Source organism: Homo sapiens, chromosome 10 (assembly GCF_000001405.40).
Source record: "Homo sapiens chromosome 10, GRCh38.p14 Primary Assembly".
NCBI classification, from domain to species: Eukaryota; Metazoa; Chordata; class Mammalia; order Primates; family Hominidae; genus Homo; species Homo sapiens.
In genome coordinates this window covers 123128013-123147970 of record NC_000010.11, presented here as the reverse complement: position 1 = coordinate 123147970, position 19958 = coordinate 123128013, and the positions used below count along the sequence as shown (strand labels likewise).

General features: G+C 54.1%; 1 protein-coding gene across 1 annotated transcript, besides 15 other annotated features; it reads right to left on the bottom strand.

Annotated features, from left to right (window-relative positions):
• Positions 4244-5180: an enhancer, noted in NCBI's record as "H3K4me1 hESC enhancer chr10:124902307-124903243 (GRCh37/hg19 assembly coordinates)". NCBI's record gives its function as "activates a minimal SCP1, AML or CMV promoter by ChIP-STARR-seq in primed H9 embryonic stem cells {active_cell/tissue: H9 hESC(primed)}" and the evidence as "EXISTENCE:reporter gene assay evidence [ECO:0000049][PMID:30033119]".
• Positions 5181-6117: an enhancer, noted in NCBI's record as "H3K4me1 hESC enhancer chr10:124901370-124902306 (GRCh37/hg19 assembly coordinates)". NCBI's record gives its function as "activates a minimal SCP1, AML or CMV promoter by ChIP-STARR-seq in naive and primed H9 embryonic stem cells {active_cell/tissue: H9 hESC(naive and primed)}" and the evidence as "EXISTENCE:reporter gene assay evidence [ECO:0000049][PMID:30033119]".
• Positions 7879-8648: an enhancer, noted in NCBI's record as "H3K4me1 hESC enhancer chr10:124898839-124899608 (GRCh37/hg19 assembly coordinates)". NCBI's record gives its function as "activates a minimal SCP1, AML or CMV promoter by ChIP-STARR-seq in naive H9 embryonic stem cells {active_cell/tissue: H9 hESC(naive)}" and the evidence as "EXISTENCE:reporter gene assay evidence [ECO:0000049][PMID:30033119]".
• Positions 8395-8444: a silencer, noted in NCBI's record as "silent region_2901". NCBI's record gives its function as "represses an Ori minimal core promoter by ATAC-STARR-seq in GM12878 lymphoblastoid cells {active_cell/tissue: GM12878}" and the evidence as "EXISTENCE:reporter gene assay evidence [ECO:0000049][PMID:35858748]".
• HMX3 (H6 family homeobox 3) lies at positions 8548-12001 on the bottom strand. Its single transcript, NM_001105574.2, has 2 exons — positions 11521-12001; positions 8548-10913 (listed from the first exon to the last, which is right to left on the bottom strand). Exons 1-2 carry the CDS (start codon positions 11918-11920, stop codon positions 10240-10242), a joined length of 1074 nt encoding a protein of 357 aa, NP_001099044.1. The 5' UTR covers positions 11921-12001; the 3' UTR covers positions 8548-10239.
• Positions 9689-10653: an enhancer, noted in NCBI's record as "H3K4me1 hESC enhancer chr10:124896834-124897798 (GRCh37/hg19 assembly coordinates)". NCBI's record gives its function as "activates a minimal SCP1, AML or CMV promoter by ChIP-STARR-seq in naive H9 embryonic stem cells {active_cell/tissue: H9 hESC(naive)}" and the evidence as "EXISTENCE:reporter gene assay evidence [ECO:0000049][PMID:30033119]".
• Positions 11573-11622: a silencer, noted in NCBI's record as "silent region_2900". NCBI's record gives its function as "represses an Ori minimal core promoter by ATAC-STARR-seq in GM12878 lymphoblastoid cells {active_cell/tissue: GM12878}" and the evidence as "EXISTENCE:reporter gene assay evidence [ECO:0000049][PMID:35858748]".
• Positions 11633-12042: a silencer, noted in NCBI's record as "silent region_2899". NCBI's record gives its function as "represses an Ori minimal core promoter by ATAC-STARR-seq in GM12878 lymphoblastoid cells {active_cell/tissue: GM12878}" and the evidence as "EXISTENCE:reporter gene assay evidence [ECO:0000049][PMID:35858748]".
• Positions 11633-12832: a biological region, named in NCBI's record as "H3K27ac-H3K4me1 hESC enhancer GRCh37_chr10:124894701-124895651".
• Positions 11836-12786: an enhancer, noted in NCBI's record as "H3K27ac-H3K4me1 hESC enhancer chr10:124894701-124895651 (GRCh37/hg19 assembly coordinates)". NCBI's record gives its function as "activates a minimal SCP1, AML or CMV promoter by ChIP-STARR-seq in naive H9 embryonic stem cells {active_cell/tissue: H9 hESC(naive)}" and the evidence as "EXISTENCE:reporter gene assay evidence [ECO:0000049][PMID:30033119]".
• Positions 12093-12172: a silencer, noted in NCBI's record as "silent region_2898". NCBI's record gives its function as "represses an Ori minimal core promoter by ATAC-STARR-seq in GM12878 lymphoblastoid cells {active_cell/tissue: GM12878}" and the evidence as "EXISTENCE:reporter gene assay evidence [ECO:0000049][PMID:35858748]".
• Positions 12553-12682: a silencer, noted in NCBI's record as "silent region_2897". NCBI's record gives its function as "represses an Ori minimal core promoter by ATAC-STARR-seq in GM12878 lymphoblastoid cells {active_cell/tissue: GM12878}" and the evidence as "EXISTENCE:reporter gene assay evidence [ECO:0000049][PMID:35858748]".
• Positions 12713-12832: a silencer, noted in NCBI's record as "silent region_2896". NCBI's record gives its function as "represses an Ori minimal core promoter by ATAC-STARR-seq in GM12878 lymphoblastoid cells {active_cell/tissue: GM12878}" and the evidence as "EXISTENCE:reporter gene assay evidence [ECO:0000049][PMID:35858748]".
• Positions 14495-14584: a silencer, noted in NCBI's record as "silent region_2895". NCBI's record gives its function as "represses an Ori minimal core promoter by ATAC-STARR-seq in GM12878 lymphoblastoid cells {active_cell/tissue: GM12878}" and the evidence as "EXISTENCE:reporter gene assay evidence [ECO:0000049][PMID:35858748]".
• Positions 14664-14958: an enhancer, noted in NCBI's record as "tiled region #13916; K562 Activating non-DNase unmatched - State 4:PromP". NCBI's record gives its function as "activates a minimal TATA promoter and a strong SV40 promoter by Sharpr-MPRA in K562 cells {active_cell/tissue: K562}" and the evidence as "EXISTENCE:reporter gene assay evidence [ECO:0000049][PMID:27701403]".
• Positions 15025-15134: an enhancer, noted in NCBI's record as "active region_4146". NCBI's record gives its function as "activates an Ori minimal core promoter by ATAC-STARR-seq in GM12878 lymphoblastoid cells {active_cell/tissue: GM12878}" and the evidence as "EXISTENCE:reporter gene assay evidence [ECO:0000049][PMID:35858748]".

Below are 19958 nucleotides of genomic sequence, written 5' to 3'. Positions count from 1 at the left end.
GCGCCGAGGGCCTGGCGGGCATCAGCGGCGTCTAACCAGGGGCAGCCAGGGCTGAAAGCAGCTGCAGATTCTAGCCCGGGTTCCTGGCGGCTGCGGCAACTCCGACTCCTTGGACCCCTTGGACCCTTCTCTCCAGAGGCAGGGGCGGTGCGGGACTCGGAGCTGGAGTGGCTCGACGCCTCCGCAGGCGACGGGTCTCCGCGCCTCCCAGGGGCTTGTACAGGCTGCTCCACCATCCTCCCCCAGCCCTCCACCCCTTCTAGCCCCAGTGGGCGGGCAAAGCCGGCACTCCTGGGACCGTGGCGCCCTGCGTGGGGGTGAGGTGGGTTAGGAGCAGGCGTCTCCAGGCGGACGCTCATCCTCTCCAGCATGGCCAGGAGCCTTGGGAGCAGACATTCCCCTTCCCCGTCTGCAGACCTCATCCCTGTCACAGGTTCTACGGACCTACAGAATCTTTAGGGGGAGGGAGGAAGCCCTAAGACCTCTAGTCAAGAGATCTGGGTTCAAATTCCGGCACAACTATTTACACACTGCATGAACTTGCACAACTCATGCCGATTAAAGCCTCTCTGCCCTCATAGTTGAAAATAACTTCTCGGATTGCCTCAGGTAGGGATTAAAAGCCTCGAAGCACTAGCAGCGCATAGTAGGTACTCCATAAACCTGGCCGGGTAGCCCATGGCCCACCCGTGTTTTAAGCGAATCTGTGTTTTTGTTTTGTAAATTTTGAAGGTTTCCGAACTGCTGCAGAAATAGACGCCTTACTCCCAGGAAGAAGATAAGGAACTGGTGACAGGACTCGGTTTTAGAATTGAGCAGACTCGACTCAATTCTCGGCTGGGTGATCTTGGGGGAAGACATTTGGAAATTCTGAGGCTCGGTTTCTTTATTCCTAAAATTGGAGGAAGCAGTGCCTCCCTCGCAGAGGCTGTTGTGAGGTCAAACTACCCAGCACCGAGCCTGGCACACCGTGGTGCTCAGTAAATAGTGATTCCCTCTGTGTTCTCATAGCCCCCTTCTGTGCCCTGGCTCTCGCCCCTTTAATTCCTAGATCAGCTGTTACCCGAGCTAGAATTAGCCCAGCCAAGCAAAGCGGTTTGGGGCCACAGTCGTCTGCACAAGCTTCCTGGAAACTGAAGTGAGGCAAGGCCCGAAGTGCTCAGGCAACCCCGTCCCCTCAAGCTGTGACCTCTAGACCTCTTGGCCAAGAGATTCCAGAAGCCCTGTCTTTAGGGTGCCCCCCAAGTGCAGCCAAGGGTGAGTGGAGACTCTGGAATCAGTCCCCACAAATGTCCAGACACTGCATGACTGTGCAGTTCCTTCCTCGCCTGCACCGCGCCCGGGTTATTAAGTAAAGCGCTTATAATATCATTAGCCGCGGTGAGTTACCGACTGCGGCCCTGCCCGTGGCAGAACTCTTCCCTACTTAACTCCTCGAGGGGCTCGTTAATGGGCTAATTGATTAGGAGTCGGCCGCGCAGCCGGGGCAGGGGCAGGCGAGGGGGCGGGGGCCAGGGGGTGCGCGCAGCGGCCCGGGAGGCCAGCGAGGGGCAGGTGCCGGCCTCCGTCACCGCATTAACCTCTTCAGGGCTCAGCGGCAGGGTCGAGACACATTACAAATGGTCAGCTTTAATCATGGTGTCAGCTCATTAACCCGGAAGGACCTGGCGCTGAAATACAATTTGTGCGTTCTCCTCTGCGCCGCGGCGGCGCAGGCTCCTGGGCCACGTCGCAGCGGGTCCCGCGTGCTCCCGCGCTGTTGGGGGGTACGCGGGAGGTTCAGCGAAAGAATCGTCGGATTCTCACTAACCATCCGCTTCTCGCAGACATCCTGAGCTAGGCGCTGCCTCCGGAGCCAGGGTCAAGGCAGCCCCGAGGGGAACTGGCCAGCTAACTCGGGGAGCAGTGCCAGCCACCCCGCTGGGGAAGAAAGCTGGGGGCAGGCAGGGAAAGTTGGTCGAACCTTCCTGAACTGTAAATATGTCGTGCGGGGAACATGCTGGAAGCTCCCCAGCATTCTTCGCTTTAATCCTGATGGCAAACAAGTGACACAGATCTATTCACTCAATGTACAGGCCGGGAAACTGAGGCTCAAGAAAACAAGAGACTAGCCCAGGCAGACAAAGCAAGACTCGTGCTCAAGGTTGTTCCACTGCCAATACATCACATTTGGGAGGAGGGAGAGAGGAGCAGACACAGGCATTGAGCTTGGAGGATGGCTGCGGGGAAGACTGTGAGGATCCTGCTGACTCGGGATGGCGGGGGCGGGTATATGGGTGGGGCAAGAGCCCAAGGAGTGATCTCTGTCAGATCAGGGGACCTCGAAGTGGGCCTCGGAAAAGCAACTCCCAGGCCCTGAAACAGTGAGAGACTGGGGAGTCGACCCTTGCAAGAAGCCTGGCTTGCGGACTCTAAACAAGGAAGTTATGAAGCCTTGCGTCCCTATCTCTCCTTCCCCTAGGGATAGTTTGGGAAGTCAAAAAGATCCATCTTGCCTTGTATTTCCTCTGTCCCGTCCCTCTAATCGCTTCGAGGGTCTGATCTTCACCGAGGCACTTCCTCTGCTGCCACACCCGGCAAAGGACGCATTAATTCGCATGAAGGCACTTGCATAAACGCCTGCGCACACTCACACATTCATTCAGCAAACGTTCACTGAGCTCCTACTAGTGCGTGCACTTTACCAGGGAAGAGATGGTGGTGGGCACGGGGCTGGGGCAAGGAAGGCTGTGGTGGAGACCCAGCTCTGCAGCCTGACTGACTGCAGTTCCCCTGAGCTCCCCTCGATTGATAGCCCGAGGGACCTCCCGCCCCTCCAGCACCTATAGCCGTCACACCGCAAGGACGGGAGGGACAAGAAACAACCTTCCTTGCCGCCCCTTTCTAGCATATGGGGATCTTCACCGGGAGCACGGAGGCCCAGACGCCCTCTCCTGGGCCCAGTGTAGCTACAAAACTCACTCCCAGGAACACTCAGTTCCTGGAACCACCACCCACAGACACCTCATGTCTCTCCCCTAACGAGTGGCAATCCTTCAACTCAGTACTATCCCACACCCCGCCCACCTCCCTAGCCTTGGGATAGCTCCGCCCAATCCTACTCAGTTTAATACCCACACCTTGGAGGATGGCCCCTCTGCATCTTTGGGATCGACCCCCTGTCTCCCTCTCCTAGGAATTAGGCATAACCAGGTTCCAAGGAATGATAAACTTTCTGAGCCTGAAAGAACGCTTAAAGTTTAGGTCCCGAGATTATGCCACTGCTCAATATTAAAGCGGCCCAGAGCAAACTTGCCGAGGATCCTAATAAAAATTGATCCTCTCTGCTCTGCGGCAGTTGGGAAATAGGCTGGCTGAGCCGGGTAATAGAAGAAGGCTCCCTCCGAAATGACAGATGAAGTCATAAACAAGTTTGATCTTGGAATCAAGCTTCGATAAATATTAAACACAGTCTGCCCCCCCGCCCCCACGCGAGTGGATTATGATATATGGCGCGTCCAAACTTTAAAATAAGGAAATACCAGAGAAAATGATCTCAATAAATTTTCTAAGTATAAACGTTGATTATGTTTCGATTTTCGTTCAAGGGCCTCTGCTGTTCGTTCTTTGGTGCAAATGACATCTCACAATAGGCTTTTGGGGAAAAGGGCTCCCTATTTGAAAAAGAGAGCCCCAGAGGTGTACAATTTATGTAATCTGCTGCTGGAAAATGAATTGTGTAATTTATTGGAAAACAGAAAGTCATGAAGATTGGATCAGCATAGCCGAGTCCCGACACTCTCCACCCCCCTCCCCACCCCCCCACATCCATCAAGTTCCAATTAACAGCCTAACCAGAGAGCTTTAATGGGTTTCCAATCTAGTGGCCTGATAGACTCATCAATTCCTCTGGGAGAAATTAAGAAAATCGACCGCCCCTTGGCGACGCAGTGTCATTCCTTTCTGCAACTATATGTCAAATTAAAAACACAATTAAAATTTAAACTGTTTCAATCAAAGGGTGCCCTGCAACCTATGTTTCACTTAATAGAACTTTGATGAAAATCTGATGCGTGCACTCCATCACCAACGGGGGCGAGGGCGGTGAAGGAGCTCACGAAAGAAGGGGATTCTTTATATTTCTTTAAGACATTAGCGCTTGGGTGAGGCACAGCAGGTGACTCCACCTCACCGCTCCTGCCTCAGTGATAGGCGCAACGCGCTCTCTCGCTGGCTCTATACCTCTCCCAGGCCTAAACCCAAAGGGATCCTTTTGGAACCCCGGCAACTCAGACTTTGGGAAGTTTCCCCCGGAGATGCATCGCCAGGAGCAGCAGCCAAGGAAGAGATCTGCGCTAGTACAACTCATGCGCACCTCCAGGGGACTCTCGGAGAAGGCGCGCTGCAGTCTCCAGCTATCCCTTCCCTCGGGTCTCCAGAACCGCCCCGTCGCTGGAGTGATACCCTTAGGGGTCCTGGAAATGGAAGGGTGGGGAGGAATCCCAGGCGCATACATGGGCCCCAGTGAGGACGAGGGTTGTGTTTCTATCCAGGACCCGATTACCCACCTCAGCCTATGCTCCCCACCTCGTGCACCTTCAGGGTACTCCGCCGGAGAGACACACCGGGGACAAGTGCAGCCCAAATCTCAACCCCAGACTCCGATCGGAGACACCCGGCAGGGCTCAAAAGTACATCCCGCCTAGTTGTTCTCGTGGCTCTTTCCTCTCTTCCGCCATCCTTCCTCCGCTCCCCAGCCCCCAACTGTTTTCAGGTCAAAAGGTCAACACCATCCACCCTGCACAACGGCCGTGCACACTTCCAGAGTCCTAGGCCCAGAGGCAAGGGATCGCTCACACCTCAAAGCCCGGGTTAGGGGGTGGGGGACAGCGAGAGGGCGGGGAGCCGAGCGTGGGAGCCCTGCGGCTGGGTCCTGCGGGGCCACGTGTACATGCGGGGGCGGATGTTGTCCTCTGGGAGTGCCCGGCTGGGCTTTGGACCCCAAGCAGAGGTTTCTATGAGGCTCCTGGTTCTTACACCCTGACCCCATCGCGCGCACCCGGGTAGACAGGTCTTCTTAGCCTCTTTGCGGAGTCTACATTTGGACCGCTAGCGGAAGACGCCCCCTGGCTGGGTCACTGAGCCGCGGGAAGTGGACGACCCGAGTAAATGGGGCAAAATGGAATCGTGGAGGGCAGCGTAGCGCCCAGCAGAAGCTCAGGCCCCACGGGGACTCTTAAGGGGAGTCCAGGTGCCCCGCGGGCGCAAGGGGGTGAAAGCAGCAGCGCGTGGCCCTTGCGCAGGCGGCCGGACAACGCGATGCCTCTTCAAACCGCTTGCAGGAAGCAGCCGGCAGCACCGCCCTCCCGCCCCCAAGCCTCCGACCCTGGTCCCCATCTCCCAGGCCCTAGCTGGCCCAGAAGGCCGCAGAAGGGAAAGCAGATCCCACTAACCTTTTCGCCGGCTCCTCTTTCTCCCAACTCTACCTCCGGCCTCTCACACAAGAAGAGCGCACGCACTGGGGTTCTCACCGCGTGGCCTCTGGCTCTGCGGTGCCGGGAGCCTGTTGAGGGGGCGTCGCGGCTCAGAATGAGCGCCCGGTGGTGGGGGGGCAGTTTATATCTGTCTTTCTGTTGTTTGATGTACACACACCCACTCTATTTACTACCAAATAAAAGAAATACATCTGTGTTGCCAACAGAAACAGTTCGCGTGCTGGCTCTGTGGTCTCCCAGGGTCCAGAGGCCTCGGGGGTGCTCAGAGCGGCAGAGCCTGGCACTGTAAGGAGGCGGACACTGAGTAGGATCCCAGCCTACAAGAGCAAGGGGGTCTGCGGTGGGATGGTGGCAGGCTCCGCTAGTGTATCCCAGGTGGCTTGTGAGGAGGGACTTCGAGGCATCCCGGTCCAAAGGATGTTCACTAAGGCTTCCTGCAGCAGAGGTGGGAGCGCCACCTCACTCTGCCCAGTCCTTTCCCAGGATTCTCCCCAGCTTGCCTAAGCCTAAGGCCATCGGAGTAAAGGGTCACTTCGAACAAGATGTGTGTAATTACGTCTGTGCCTTAGCAATGGTGGTGATGCCAAACACATTTGTGATTGGGTATGCTAGGAACCCAAGGAAATGGTGTTAGGAGGTCTACAGTGTGTGGATGTGTATGGTGAGTGTTTATATCAAATGTGAGTGTATCCTCCTGTGTGTTGTTTCCATGTGTGTCTCTTTGGGTGATGCAGAAAGGATTTAGCCTGGAAGCTGAAGTCATTTGCGTTGACTTGAAGATTAATTGGGGTGCAGATGGGAAGAATCTAAAGCTAGGGTTGGCAAAGAGAAGCTGGGCTCCACAGTCTGAAGGAGGGGTGAAAAGACAAAATTGAGAGTGCCAGTTCAGTGTCCTAGGAGAGAGGACATGGGATGCCCTGTCTTCCCCTAGGGAATGTCCAGGAGGAATTTTGTGTAGGCACATTCACTTTTCCCAAAAAAGGCCCCTTTTTGTGAGTGGTGGCAGCAGCTCCTAGTAATCTTTGCAGAGGCAGCAGGGAGGGAGGCATTCTGGGTGGGGGAAGAAGACGGCCAGCTCTGGAGATGTGACAGCCCCACTAAGTGCCTTCTTGGATTCTCCTGGCTTGAAACCACAGAAAAACTTGCAGTTGAGCTTAGGATGCTTTGTGTAGAGTGGCTTCTGTGCTCCACAGCCCCGCACCCTGGCTCAACCCCTTTGCTTGCCCTGGGATAAATATGGTGACCCCTGACAGGAGGGAAGGGGACATTTCCCACCTGGGCCAGCTTCTAGGCTCACACAGCCACCAGTCCCCAGGCGAAGTTGGCACCACCTCCCTCCCCCAGGGCGCAGATCACTGTTTGGAGGAGGAATGCTCGGGGGTCCAGGGCAGTGGGGCTCCCCAACAGGAGGAAAAGGGAGGCTGTAGGAGCAGGACAAAGGATAAACTGTGCTTGTGGAGAACCAGTTATTTCCCGACTTTGTAAAGACCTGATCAGTCAAGAACCGTTTTCTAGAATCCAAACACAAATAAAGAAGCATTTTCTTGGCCTTTGATAACATCGTGTTCTGGCTGTAAAAATCTAAGAACGTGTTTGCTGTTGCAACATTATTTTTAATGAGCTGTTATTGGCCTGTCCTGCAGTTGGTATTGCCAACAGTAAAAGGCATCACCATGTTTGTAGGTAACACAAGGAACAACATATTTTGACCCGAATTTCTGTTTATGTTTCATTTATGACACATGCCCTCGTTTTTATTCCAAACCAGAGGGAAATAAAGAGAGATCTATCTTCACTGGGGTCCAGGCTAAAATTTTGCCATAAATACGCATGTCGGTTTATTCGGAGGGCAGTTTTCCATTAACAGAAAACTATACTGGACGTTTCAGCCACAGTAGAATCAATTGTGTCGATTGAATTTGAGGAGCCTAGCAACGCACTGCGAGAGGAAAGAGAGGCGTGCAGGCGCTCCCCAGCGGTCGCGCCCTATGGCTGCTCTCTGGAATCTTTTTCACCCTCTGGGTTCCTCATCTCCCCCTTTCGGCTCCCCAGCTTCAAAGGTGCCCCGCCAGGAATTGTACGTGCAGACCCCCAGCTTAAAGGCAGGCGGCCACACCCGGCCAGCGAGTGTCGCCCAGGCACCTGCTTCTGTCGGGCGGACCCACCCTTCCAGGCGGTTCCGGCGCGCTGTGCCTCCGCAGGCTGCTCACTAAGAGCGCGGCGGCCTGGAACCCAGTAGCGCGCGGGTGTGGTGAGCGCTACGCTTCTCGGCGTCTGCCAGGACAGGGTCGGGGATCTAGAGATGCCGCCCAGGAGGTGTTGGGCGCCAGGGGAAAGAGAAGAGCCTGGCACGGAAGAGACAAGGTCTTCTCTGTTGCAGCTGCAGCAGCTAGGTAGCCTCTGTTCCCTCACACTTAGCACATCAGGACCGCGCCCATGCTCGAGTCGCCCCGGGAATCTCAGCTCTGCAAGACCTGAGGAAGTTCCCCTCTCCTGGTAGTGGGAGCCGCTGTCCCAAGAGCTGGCTGTCCCTGGGGTTGTCCTCTTGTGGCCCAGCCTTTCCTAGCCTGACTTGGCAATCGGCCTACGGCTGCAGCTAAACTCTGAACTCACTCCCTTCTTCCCTCCAACCAGAGCCCACCGAAGTTAACCAGCTGACGAATGCCCAGGGATGCCCTGCCCAAAAGCTCTCGGCTCCCGAAGGAACCCAGGTTTAAGAACAGAACGGGAGGCTGCAGACCAGTGTTCGGAAATACCAGCTGTCTCTGGTATCTCGCCTCGCGCGCTGTCGCTTTGCTCAATTTCGCAAACTAGATAAGCCTAAGTCCACTCCCCTTCCGCCCAGCATTCTTCCCTGCTCGCTGGGCGTTTCAGGCCGCGGAAAGTACAGGGGAGAGAGTGCCTCTGGTCGCGAACAAAGCCGCCTCTGTCTCCACCGCCTCCCGGAATACAGGGTTGTGCGTCCAGGTTGTACTTAGAGAGCGCAGAGGCAGTCAGCGAGCAAGACAGAAAAGAGTTTTGGAGACATTTGCTCTAGGGAAAATCGTCCAAACTTACACACTCTGGCAACACGTAAAGCTTTTCTTTTCTTTTTAATTAATTCAATGTCACGACAACATTAGTGTAACAATATTTTGTGGGTTTTTTTTTTCTCTTTTTCTTAAAAAGGGACTCAACCCAGGCAGAGGTGAGGGAGATGAGGGGAAACAAACTATCACAGAACAACAGGTGTACCGACAGAAAGAAAACAGATTGGGTGACAGAGCCAGGAGCCCTGCGGAGTAGAGGGTGAACTTTACAAGAAATCTGTACATTTATCAAATAAGTTAAAATTCTGCTAAATTGATTGTCCTTCACTTAAAGCGCTCCAGTATGCCTAACTTACTCCTTTGAGCATCACTACCTAAGCTTGTTTCTTTCTTCCCCCCTTTCCCCTGCCTACTTTTTTCTTTCTAAATGAATGACCATGATTATACAGTGAAAAGGTCTGTTTCCCACGGTGGAGGAGGAAACAGCTTTCTCAGGAGATTTTGTACAATATTGCACAGGTCAACGTACAATAATTACTGCAGAACATGAAAAGTAAGAGGAGAGGATAAAAGATATCATATTAAAAATACTGAAATTACTCTCTCAAAACAGGGAACAAAGTAATAATAGTAATATTAATAATAATTTACAAATGAAATTCTCAAAATAAATGCTACTAATAAATAAGACCACTTAGACCAGGCCAGATATGGAGCTGTTTCAAATAGTCAGAGTTCTGATTTTTGGCTGTCTTTTCTCTTTAGACACTTAGAGAATTCTTCCATCACAAAGTAAGACCGATGAAGAGGCTAATTGCAACAGACCTCTCCAGAAGAGAAAAGCGGCCTGAGTCGGGATTCTTATGAGAGGCTGCTCATATTTTGAAAATTAAGGTGGATAACTGATTTGGGGGTTGGGAGGAAGAAACATACCCAGAAATCCAGAAATAAAAGTACTATCATATGAATTCTCTCCCTCTCTGGATTCTGAAAACAGTTCTATAGAAAAGGAATAAACTAGGCCGGGCGCAGTGGCTCACGCCTGTAATCCCAGCACTTTGGGAGGCCGAGGCGGGCGGATCACGAGGTCAGGAGCTCAAGACCAGCCTGGCCAACATGGTGAAACCGCGTCTCTACTAAAAATACAAAAATTAGCCGGACGTGGTGGCACACACCTGCAATCCCAGCTACTCGGGAGGCTGAGACAGGAGAATCACTTGAACCCGGGAGGCGGAGGTCGAAGTGAGCCGAGATCGCGCCACTGCACTCCAGCCTGGGCAATAGATAGAGCAAGATTCCGTCTCGGAAAAAAAAAAAAAAGCAGAAAAGAATAAACTAGAGGGATTTAGGTTTTGCGCTTATTTTCCTTCTATAAAAATAAAACCAAAAAGCCACCGCGCAATGGAAATTTGGAAGGGAGGGCTGCACATTTTACAAAAACTATCGGCCGAAATCTCTGACCCGAAAATTTTGTCTTGTTCCTGCTTTCTCTTAATATAAGCCAAAAACCAAAAGTAAGAGGGGAAGCGCCTCCAATCCATTAGGGATGAATTGCACGAAAATGCATTGCAAATACTTACAAAATGCTACCGACTGGGGGAGGGGAAGCAGAGGCTGCGCGCCCAAGCCCCAGTTCCTGAAGGCCGCTGGACTTCTCGGCGCCCTCGGCCCGGCCCAGTCTCCTCCGGGGTCCGGACAAGGAGGCCGGGCGCTCCCTCCCCCACCCCTCTGGGGCCTCAGACCGGCCGTAGCAGCGGCACGGAAGAGACCACCGGGTGCGAGTAGTAGACGGGGTGCGGGAAGGTGAGCAGCGGCTGGCTGACTGGCACCGGGGCCCCCGCGGCTGCAGCCGCCGCGCCCTCGGCCGCCGAGTTCTCGTGGTAGAGGATGGGCACCCGCACGATGCGCTGCGCCGCGGCATGGCTCAGGTTGGCCGCCTCCAGCTCCGCCGCCAGCTGCCGCTTCCACTTGTTGCGGCGGTTCTGGAACCAGATCTTGACCTGCGTCTCGGTGAGGTGCAGGGACGCGGCCAGGCCGGCTCGCTCCGAGCTGCTCAGATAGCGCTTCATGTCGAAGGTGGACTCGAGCTGGAAGACCTGGCTGCGCGAGAAGACTGTGCGCGTCTTCTTCTTGCGGCACGCCGGCTTCTTCTCTGGACTTTCAGCGCCCTTCTTCCAGTCTTCTGCGCCCGGAGTGGCCGCCGCCGCCCCTACGCTCGCCCCGGCCGCGCCTGGCGCCGCTTCGCCTTCCTTTTTGCTTTCCTCGGAGTCGCTCTCCTCCAGAATGATCTCGTCCGGGCTCTTGGAGTCCAGCTCCTTGTGATCGGGGTCGGCCTTGAGCAGTGGCTCCGGAGAGTCGCGGTCTGTGCCGGAGGCGGGGGAGGAGTCTCTCAGCAAGGCCTTCTCCGAGGCTGGGGAGACAGACAGACGGACGCACACACATGCACACCGACACAGCCTTGAGCGAGGCCCGGCGCCTGGGGACGGCAGGCTCAACCCGCGCCGGCCTCCAGGTCCCAGGCCATGAGGCCTCACCATTCCCGCGGGCTGCCTCCTTCTCGGCTGGGCCAGAGAAGGGACGCCGAGTCCTGGGATCCCCCTCCTCCCGAGGACAGGCAAGCAGATGGTGGTAGCGCGGCCACCTCCTTCCATTCCCTCAGCTTCCTCGCCAGGGGCCGGCAGAACGGTTCCCTTTCGGCTTAGGCGCATTGGAATCACCCCCTCCTTCCAGGCCGTGTCCCAAGCCCCGGCCGTCCGAAGCCTCCCTATTCACGCCCGAGGCCACTTTTCCCGGGAAGCACCGTGCCCGGGGCTCCAATTCCACTTCTTTTCTCACCAAGTGGGATTGGATTAACGGGCAGCGCAACCCAGCGCGAGGGCAGGCTAGGGGCCGAAAAAAACTGACCGAGCAGAGGGTTTGCGGGTGCTGGGGTCCCAGAACTGCGGAGGGAAGCAGCGCGGGGCGGGGACGGGGCGGGCGCGCAGGGGGACAACGAAAGTTCAAAGAGAGGTCGGTACCTTCAGGTCGCGGGAGGTGGCCGCCGGCGGGGGTCAGGGTGTAGGGGTACCACCAGGCTGGGGAGCGCTCCAGGTAGTGCGCGGGCAGGGCAAACCTCTGCGCCGGGATCTCAAAGCGAGGGAAAGCCAGGTCGCCCACCTGCGAGAGCGCGAAGCCCGCGGCGCCCTCCAGGGCCCCCTTGGCCGCCGCGGCAGCGGCAGCGGCGGCGGCGGCGGCAGCCGAGGCTGGCGCGAAGAGCGTCCGTGGGGGCGGCTGAGGCTTAGGGGGCGGCCGGTGGTGGTCTCCGTTGAGCAGGTTCTTGATGGAGAACGGGGACTCCTTGGGAGCGGGTGGGGGGGGCGGCGGCGGTTGGGGCTGTGCGCTGGCGGTGCCGGCAGCGTCCGGCCCGGGTTCCGGCATGGTCCCCTCTCCTCCGGGTCCCCGGGAGGGAGGGAGCGGGACAGGCGGGCGGCGGGGCGAGCAGGCGAGAGGCCGGAAATCAGACCATAAACGGAACTCAACTACGGGGCGCAAAGTCGGGGGCCGCCCCGGGCGCAAATCCAACGGCGGGAGGGCGGAGTGAGGACCCAGACGGGCGGGCTCGCATGAGGGAGGGGTGCGGAGGGGCGGGGAGCGGCCCTGCCGCGGCACCGAGGGATCGAGGCGGCTCGGCTGCGGCTGCGGCTCCCGCGGAGGAGGCAGCAAGAGCAGTCCCCGGCTCGAGGCTGCGTCAATCCGGCGCCGGATGCTAATGATGAAATCAAAATGTCATCCAAGTTAAATGCGGGGAGTATACGGCGATTGGGCGCGTACAATGGCAAATGGGATTAGGCAGGCGAAGGCTCAGCCGAGCCCCGGCCCCGCAGCCGCCTCCGCCACCGCCCCCTCCTCGCCTTCCCTCGGATTTTGGCGCTTTGGCTTCGGGCTATAAGAGCCCGCCCGTTATTGGCTTTATATAGTCCAATTAGGCAGCAAATGAGGACAAGCCTATTAGCACAAAAGGATATTGGCTCCCGCTAAAGAGGCACTCGGAGCGCTCCTGCGAGCGCAGGAGGCGAGCGAGGGACGCGGAGCAGGCGGCGCCCTTGGCCGAAGCGCACTAACGGCCGCGAGCCCGGAGACCGCGCCTGCCTCTCCCCCCTGCGGCGCAGGGACCCGCTTCCCGCCGCCAGGCCTGCGGGAGGGGGGAGGGGCGGACCAGGCCCTCCCGGGTCACCTCGGGGTTATCTGCGCTCGCAGCTGCCGCTCCCCCGCCCCCTGGGGCTGGACAGGGGCCCGCCGCCCCCACGCAGCTGGAGAGCCACGCAGCGCCGGCCCAAGAGGCAGGACGTGACCTCGGCCCTCGGAGAACTCATCATTTTCCTACCCTTTGGGGTCCGGCGACCTCGGTATTTTTCCTAAAGCCTGCTAGGAAGGGCGAGGCCAAGAAGAGAGGGATTTGGGTTCCCCACCCACCATCCAGCCGATAGTAAGGGAATCCAGGTGTAAGTCCTCGCACTGCGTCTTCGGACTCAGAAATCCGCGTGGCCTTGGCCTTTAGCCCTGGAAAACCGAAGAGTGAGCCTTCCCCCGGGACCAGGAGTGGGTGTGCCTGTGTGCGTATGCGCGCTGACCCGGCCAAAACCCGCGCGTCACTCGGTGGGGCTGCTGGGGCAACAGCTTCTCGGCACCGACGGCTGCTCTCGGAAGGGCACCCCTCTGCTCTGGCCGCCGGTGCCCAAGGCTCGCGGATCAACTCCGAGTCTGTGACCCCGACGACAGCACTTTCTCCCAGGAAGTCTCTCCGGCCAGCTGGCGTTTGGAGCTGTCTAACTAACGCTTTAATGGGGGCAAGGTGAACCGAAGGCGCAGCGGCGTAGCTTCCTCCGCCGCGGCAAGCAGCGGCATCCGCTGCGCGTCTCGACGGCAGCGAAGTCCTTAGAGAACCACACTGGACCTTTGCAGAACGGCTTAGTGAAAGGACATTCCACTCCACTGGCTTTAAAAACAGCTCCCCGGTTCGCACGAGAAGCCCATGAGGCAGACATTTAAGACTCATGATTTAAGCATCAAGTAAATCAGAATTGTTTGTGAGGTCCCCTCCCGAGAGACAGCTTTCTTATCAGAGAAAGGTGACAAACTGGCCTCACCCTCTTCCACCCTGGTGAAGCTCCCGCACACGAGGGCTTTTTGGGATCCCTTCACCTCCCCACCGCTTTCTTTTTCGTTAGATTGAGCCTCGCCTAATTCAAGGCCGCCCTGCATTGGCAGACGTGATCGTGTGGGGTCCCCACTTGAGAGGTAGATTTTGTTTTTCGGTCCTGGGGCGTCAGACCCTCCCCCACCAAATCTCGACGGGCATATGTAATGTTTCTTTCTGCATTCATCTACAGCAGCGAACCCCATTTTTGCTTTGGAAATCTGGAAACGTAAATGGCGCTTCCATAAACAATTACTGTTATTACTCCCTTGAGTTTACACAGGGCTTTACTGGAATGCAAAACGCTACGCCATCCAAAATCTGGGTTGGAACGGATCACTGCCCTGAGACCCCAGCAGGGTGGGTCTCATACTTGGATTTTGTAAGTGGAAACCCGCGCCCAGAGAGGAGGAAACTGGGCCTAGGTCGCCCAATCGCTGCTGGATACCCAGAGGTCATTTTCCCCCAACCGCAGAAATAGCTCGATGCACGTAGGTCTATGAGGGTTGGGTGGGCACCGCCTGCACACAGCCTGCCACGCGGCCGAGTATGCGTGGAGAGACCCCGGCGTGTATGCCTGTGTGTTTTGGGAGCTTCGCCATTCAGCGCAGACGCATGCAAACTTGGCTAGAGTTCTGACGCACGAAAGTCGACTTTAAACTGGGAATGCTGAGGGTTCAGTCTGGGGAGGGGGACTCGTGGCTGATCACAACTCCAGCGCTAGACTCAGATGGGGAGGGGACAGGCCCAGTGTGGCGGGAGAAGAGTCCGGGACAGCCGCCCGCATCCCTGCTGTGCGGCTACCGGATCCCGGCTTTCCGGTTGTCGCCCCAAGTTCTCCGGTTGACTCCCCTCCCAGGGGCGCGCAGGGGCGCTGTTATGTGCTTGTGTTTGGCCCGGGAGAGGAGCTTCTCCAGTGTCAGCACTCTCAGCCCATCCTCTCAGTTTTAGGGATTGCTGGGCTTGAAAAGCGGGATGTATTGAGTAGATCTTTCCCTTCCCCTTCGAGAAAGCTGGTGGGAGTCGGGTCTGGGCGCGGACTCAGCCCTTTACTCGCCGTCTGGCGAGAGGTGTTGCCAGCGTTCTTGCGCTCACGACTCCATTCAAAGTCAGGCAGACAGCGCCCTCTATGGGACAGCCTCTGAACCAAGCCTGCAGGTTCCGCTGGAGAAACCGCTGTCCCGGCGCAGGACGTTTAAAAGCCATTGAGGTCTCGCCCTTCGCCGCCGCAGTTAGAAAACAAAAGCATTTTTTCTCTGGATCCCGGGAGAAGAAGTGGGTGAAATCGCCTTCAGATCTCTGCTGATCTCTACCTGGCCACGACAGGAAGTGGTCTCGCCTGCCTGTCATCCTCCTTCCCGCTTTTCCTGCCTGTTTTAGGGCCCATTCTGTGGTCCCCGTCTCGTTCTATCCTTTAGGTGCCGGTCCTAACCTCAGGCTAGGTGTTCTCCAGGAAGGACTCGGGGAGGGAAGGAGGGAACGGGCCTGCCTCATTCGTCTTCCCAGGACTCAGCGCCGCCGGCCGATCAGCGGACGAAACGCTTGTGCTCAGGAAATGCTTGTGCTCAGGAAACGCTTGTATTAATGCCTGAATGCCTGAGTGAGACGAATGAATGAATGGATGAATGAATGAATGGATTCACAGTTCCCTTACAGAGAATTGGCCCACTTGATTAGGGACCTTCAGATAGCCTGATCATACCCAAAAGCTGTTTTTAAAGAGTTTAATGAAATCTGAGATCTTTTGATGCTGCATTTTACAAAACCTAAAGGAGCCCAAGGAATAGGACCTTTGGGGGACCTTTCCCAGGCTAATCTCAGGCAGATGGGCTGTGAGAGCGGGTCTCTACACCACCCACCCTTGGGACAAGGAGCCAAGAGGGCAGAAGGGGACTGGAGAATGCCAGTGATTAACACCCAACTTTTACACAAAAGCATGAGGCCTGATACAGGAGTGCTTGGCATGGCATTCTCACCTGCCCCAGGCCCACCACACACACAAAGCACATACACGTTTGTGCACACACACAAGTCAGTAAGCAAGGCGCTTCCCAAAGGAGGGGAGCTTTCCATATTTTTCAGTACTTCATCTAAGAGAAGGCTGCTTCCTTCCCTCCATAGCCATACTACGGTCCTTCTCCTTGGAGCAGCTTCCTGGCACAGCCCACCTCCTTATCCATGGACGGGGTGGGGACTGCTTAGGCTTCTAGCCAAAGCTGCAAAACTCCCAGGCTGGAGGCCCCCACAATTAACATAGAGGGTTTGCCCTGGTCCTGATGGCCTCATTTTACCACCCACCTCTTCTGACCTGCAGGTCCTTGCTTTGAAGGCAGAATGGACAAAAGCCTGGAATTGTGATCCTGGGGAAACTGTGCTACCTACACATGCTACACAAGCTCTTTACTGGGACTTTCCTGGAAAGTTCTCTCCCATCTTTCTCGATGCCACCAGGAATGCTGCCAATGATGTCTCCCTCTGACTAAATACTGACCCTTAGAAAATACACAGCCCTGGGAGACAGGTCACAGCCAAGCTGTGCCTGATCACATATGTTTCCTGCATCACATACAATGTCCTTAGAGTGACTGAATGTCTTACCCTTTCATGACAGTGAGGGTAACAGTTATGTGGAGGTAATGTCGGCTCACGGTCATTGAATCCTTATTAGAAGCCAGGCACTATAACTTGGTGAGGTAGGTACTATTATTCTTTCTGATTGATAGATGAGGAAACTGAGGTCCCAAGTATGACAAGGAAGAGCTGGAGAGAGTACTAAAACATTTAGCCTCATAGGGTTGTTACAAGGACAGGGCTGGCCTACAGTAAGTGCTATGTAAGTCCTAGCTATTGTGCTGTTATTCCTCATTCATTCATTCTTCAAGATGAACCCACAGGCCAAAGTCTGTTCTTGCAGTGTTGCCTTGAGAAAGCTAACACAGTTCTGCAATGGAGAGATGCCCCAAGAGTTGCTTCCTTGCTTCAAGGAGGCCTTACTCTTCTATCCAGAAATGAGCCAGCTCTCTCCCACGTCCTCGTTTCTCTTCCTGGTTCCCTTGTCTTCTTTGAAAGTTCTTCTTACAGTGAGGCACAGTGGCTCACATCCATAATCCCAGCACTTTGGGAAGCTGAGGTGGGAGGGCCTCACTTGAGACTAGGAGTTTGAGACCAACCTGAACAACACAGTGAGACCCTGTCTCTACAAAACATTTTTGAAAAAGTCTTTCTCCCCAAACCAAGAATCTTTCAAGTGTAATTATTTGCAGGTTGCTCTCTATCCTCAGAGTTCTCATTAGGGGAGAAGAAGTATAATTTACAATGCAATAAAATCCACAATTTTGAGAATACAACCTCATAAACTTTGACAAATATATACCCCTGAGTAATTATCAACTGTATTTCCCCACCCTGAAAGTTTTCTCCTGGCCCTTTGCAATCAATTCCCCCAAACCCCACCCTAAGAGACCACTGTTGACTTTTAGAATTAAGACGAGTTATTCTGGTTCTAGAAGTTCAATTAAATAACCACGTCCAGTATGTACTCTTTCTGAGTCTGCTTCTTTGAGTCAATGAATCTGTGTGATTCATTTGTTTTGTTGTGCAGGGTATTTTTAGCAGAAGAGTGGCATATCTGCCTTACATTTAAGTCAACTTTAGATTCATCAAGTTCCAATGGGATTCTCAACCTAAAGAAATTCCACATCCCATGAATGGAGGAAGAAAATGTGGTCTATCCATACAATGGAAAATTGTTCATCAATACAAAGGAATCCAGCACTGATACATGCTGCAATGTGGATGAGCCTTTGAAAGATGCCAAAGTAAAAGACCACATATTGTTTGACTCCATTTAAATGAAATGTCCAGAGGAGGCTACTTCATAGAGACAGAAAGGAAATAAGCGATTAGCAGATGCTAGGGGGATGAGGGGAATGAAGAGTGACTGCAAATGTGTATGGGGTTTCTTTTTGGGGGTGATGAAAATGTTTTAAAATTGGTTGTGATGATGGTTGTCCAACTCCATGACTGTACTAAAACTTTCAGTGAGTAGGTTGTATAATACATTAGTGCTGTCTCAGTCAAGTGGTTATGAAAATATTCACCTCCCAGCCACCATGCATAGGTACAAGCTTTCCAATGCCTCTTGTCTTGAGAGCCCGATGGAGCTGGTCCAGTGACCCAGCTGGGGCTCCCCCAACCTTCCCTGCATAGTTCCTCTTTCTGCTGGTGGCTGGGCAGGGGGTGAGGGATGCAAGGATCATTGGCTCAGCCTCCTGTGTATGAGAAACTCTCTCCCCACAGAATAGGGGGAAGCCTAGCCCATGTAGCCTTCAGTGAGGTCATGCAAGCCACATCAGAGCTGAGTACCTCGATAGCGAAGCCTGTCCCCATGGCCCACATTGGGCTGTTATCCAGGATGTCTCTCTTCTAGCTCTGATGCAATTTGATTCTGTGCTTCTTCCCTCAGTGACTGAGGAATGACCCATTCTCCCTGAGTCATCACTTCTGCCACACGAATGTGGCACAATCAGAACAATCAAAGGTCATGTCATATAAGCCAAGATGACTCCTAAGGACAACTGGGAGAGGAGTGGCTGAAGCTTCCTCCCAACAATGCCTGAGCAGCCCTGAAGAGTCATCTCATTTATTCACTTAGTTAGCAACATGCCTGGGCAGACATTGTGCCAGGCTCTGGGGGTATAAGACTAAATCAGTCACAACTTCTGTTCTTGGGGTGCTCATAGCCTAGAAATGAAAACTGAAAAGGGAGTGAATAATGGCAATGCAATGTGAGAGGCAAAGTACCTCTAGCACATTTAGGCACAAAGTGATTTGGGATCACAGAGAAGGAAACAACTAATTCAGTCTGGTGGTTTAGTGTAATCAGTGGAGGCTTCCTGGAGGAGGTGATCAACCAGGGTCTTGATGAGTGTGTTATCAGGTAGGGAAGGGAGAAGAACAAAGAGGCTGAGGAAATGTCAGAATGTAGCCATAGAGTTTGTGCTGGGGAGGGTGCACAGATTGCTGGAGATGGGGAACAGAGCTGGGCCAAAGAGACTGCTTCCCTTGAATTCCTGCATCAGCGATTGTGGGCCCTTGAATTCCTGCATCAAAATCAATAGGTCTTTCCACAAAGACCATCATATCATATTGTGGCAGCAGTAAGGAGAGCATGGGCTCAGGAATCTGCAATTTTGCTAGATGTAGTAAGCTGATTTCTAGCACCATCCCTGTATCACTTTCCTACGGTTGCCTTAACTAAGTGCCACAATCTGGAGGGCTTAAAACAATGGAAATCTATTGTTTCACAATTCTGGAGGCCAAATGTCCAAACTCAAGGAGTCAGTAAGGCCATGCTCTCTCTGAGTTTCCAAAGAAGAATTTGTTCTAGGGAAGGATACCTCTCTCCTAGCTTCTGGTAGGACAAGGTCCAAATAAGGTCAGTTTACAGATACTGGGAGTTAGGACTTCAGCATATCTTTTTGGAGGACACAATTCAACACCTGCCCACAGTGATCCCCACCTCTGAGCATTCATGTGCTTGTGTAATTCTCTCCCCCTGAATACAGGCTGGACCTAGTAACTTGATTGTAACCAACAGAATACAATAAAGGTGATGGAATGTCACTTCCATGACTGGGTTACAAGATTGTAACTTCTGTGCATTAGCTGACTCTCTCTATTCCCTTCTCAGTTTGCATGCTTTCATGAACCAAGGGTGGCCTCATACCAACAGCCAGTGATAAACTGACTTCCTAAGTTAAACAGCCTGTGAGAAACTCGGTGTTGCCAATAACCGCTTTGTGAGTTTGAAAGTGGATCTTTCTCCAATCAAGCCTTCAGTTGAGAACACAGCCCCTGGGACAACACTTTGATTGGAGCCTTGCAATAGACCATGAATCTGAGGCTCCTGTCCCACAGAAACTGTGAGATAATAAATATGTATGTCTTAAGCCACTAAGTTTTGGAGTAATTTGTTAAACAGTAGTCAATAACTAATAGAACAGTTCTCTAGGTATTTCTTATGCCTACCAGGGTCTGAAGACCTAAGCAATGGGGAGCCATAGAAAGATTTGCCACAGGAAGGCAAGAGGACCCGATCAGATTATGTTCTAGGAAGACCATTTAAATAGAGTGAAGGATTTGTCAGAGCAGGGAGGACCAGGAGGCTAGGAGGCTTGTTAGGAGGTGGTTAATGAGGACCTCAACTACCAGCAATTTTTAACAAATTGAATGCTCCCATAAAACCAGCACCCAGATTAAGAAACCAAACATACCAGA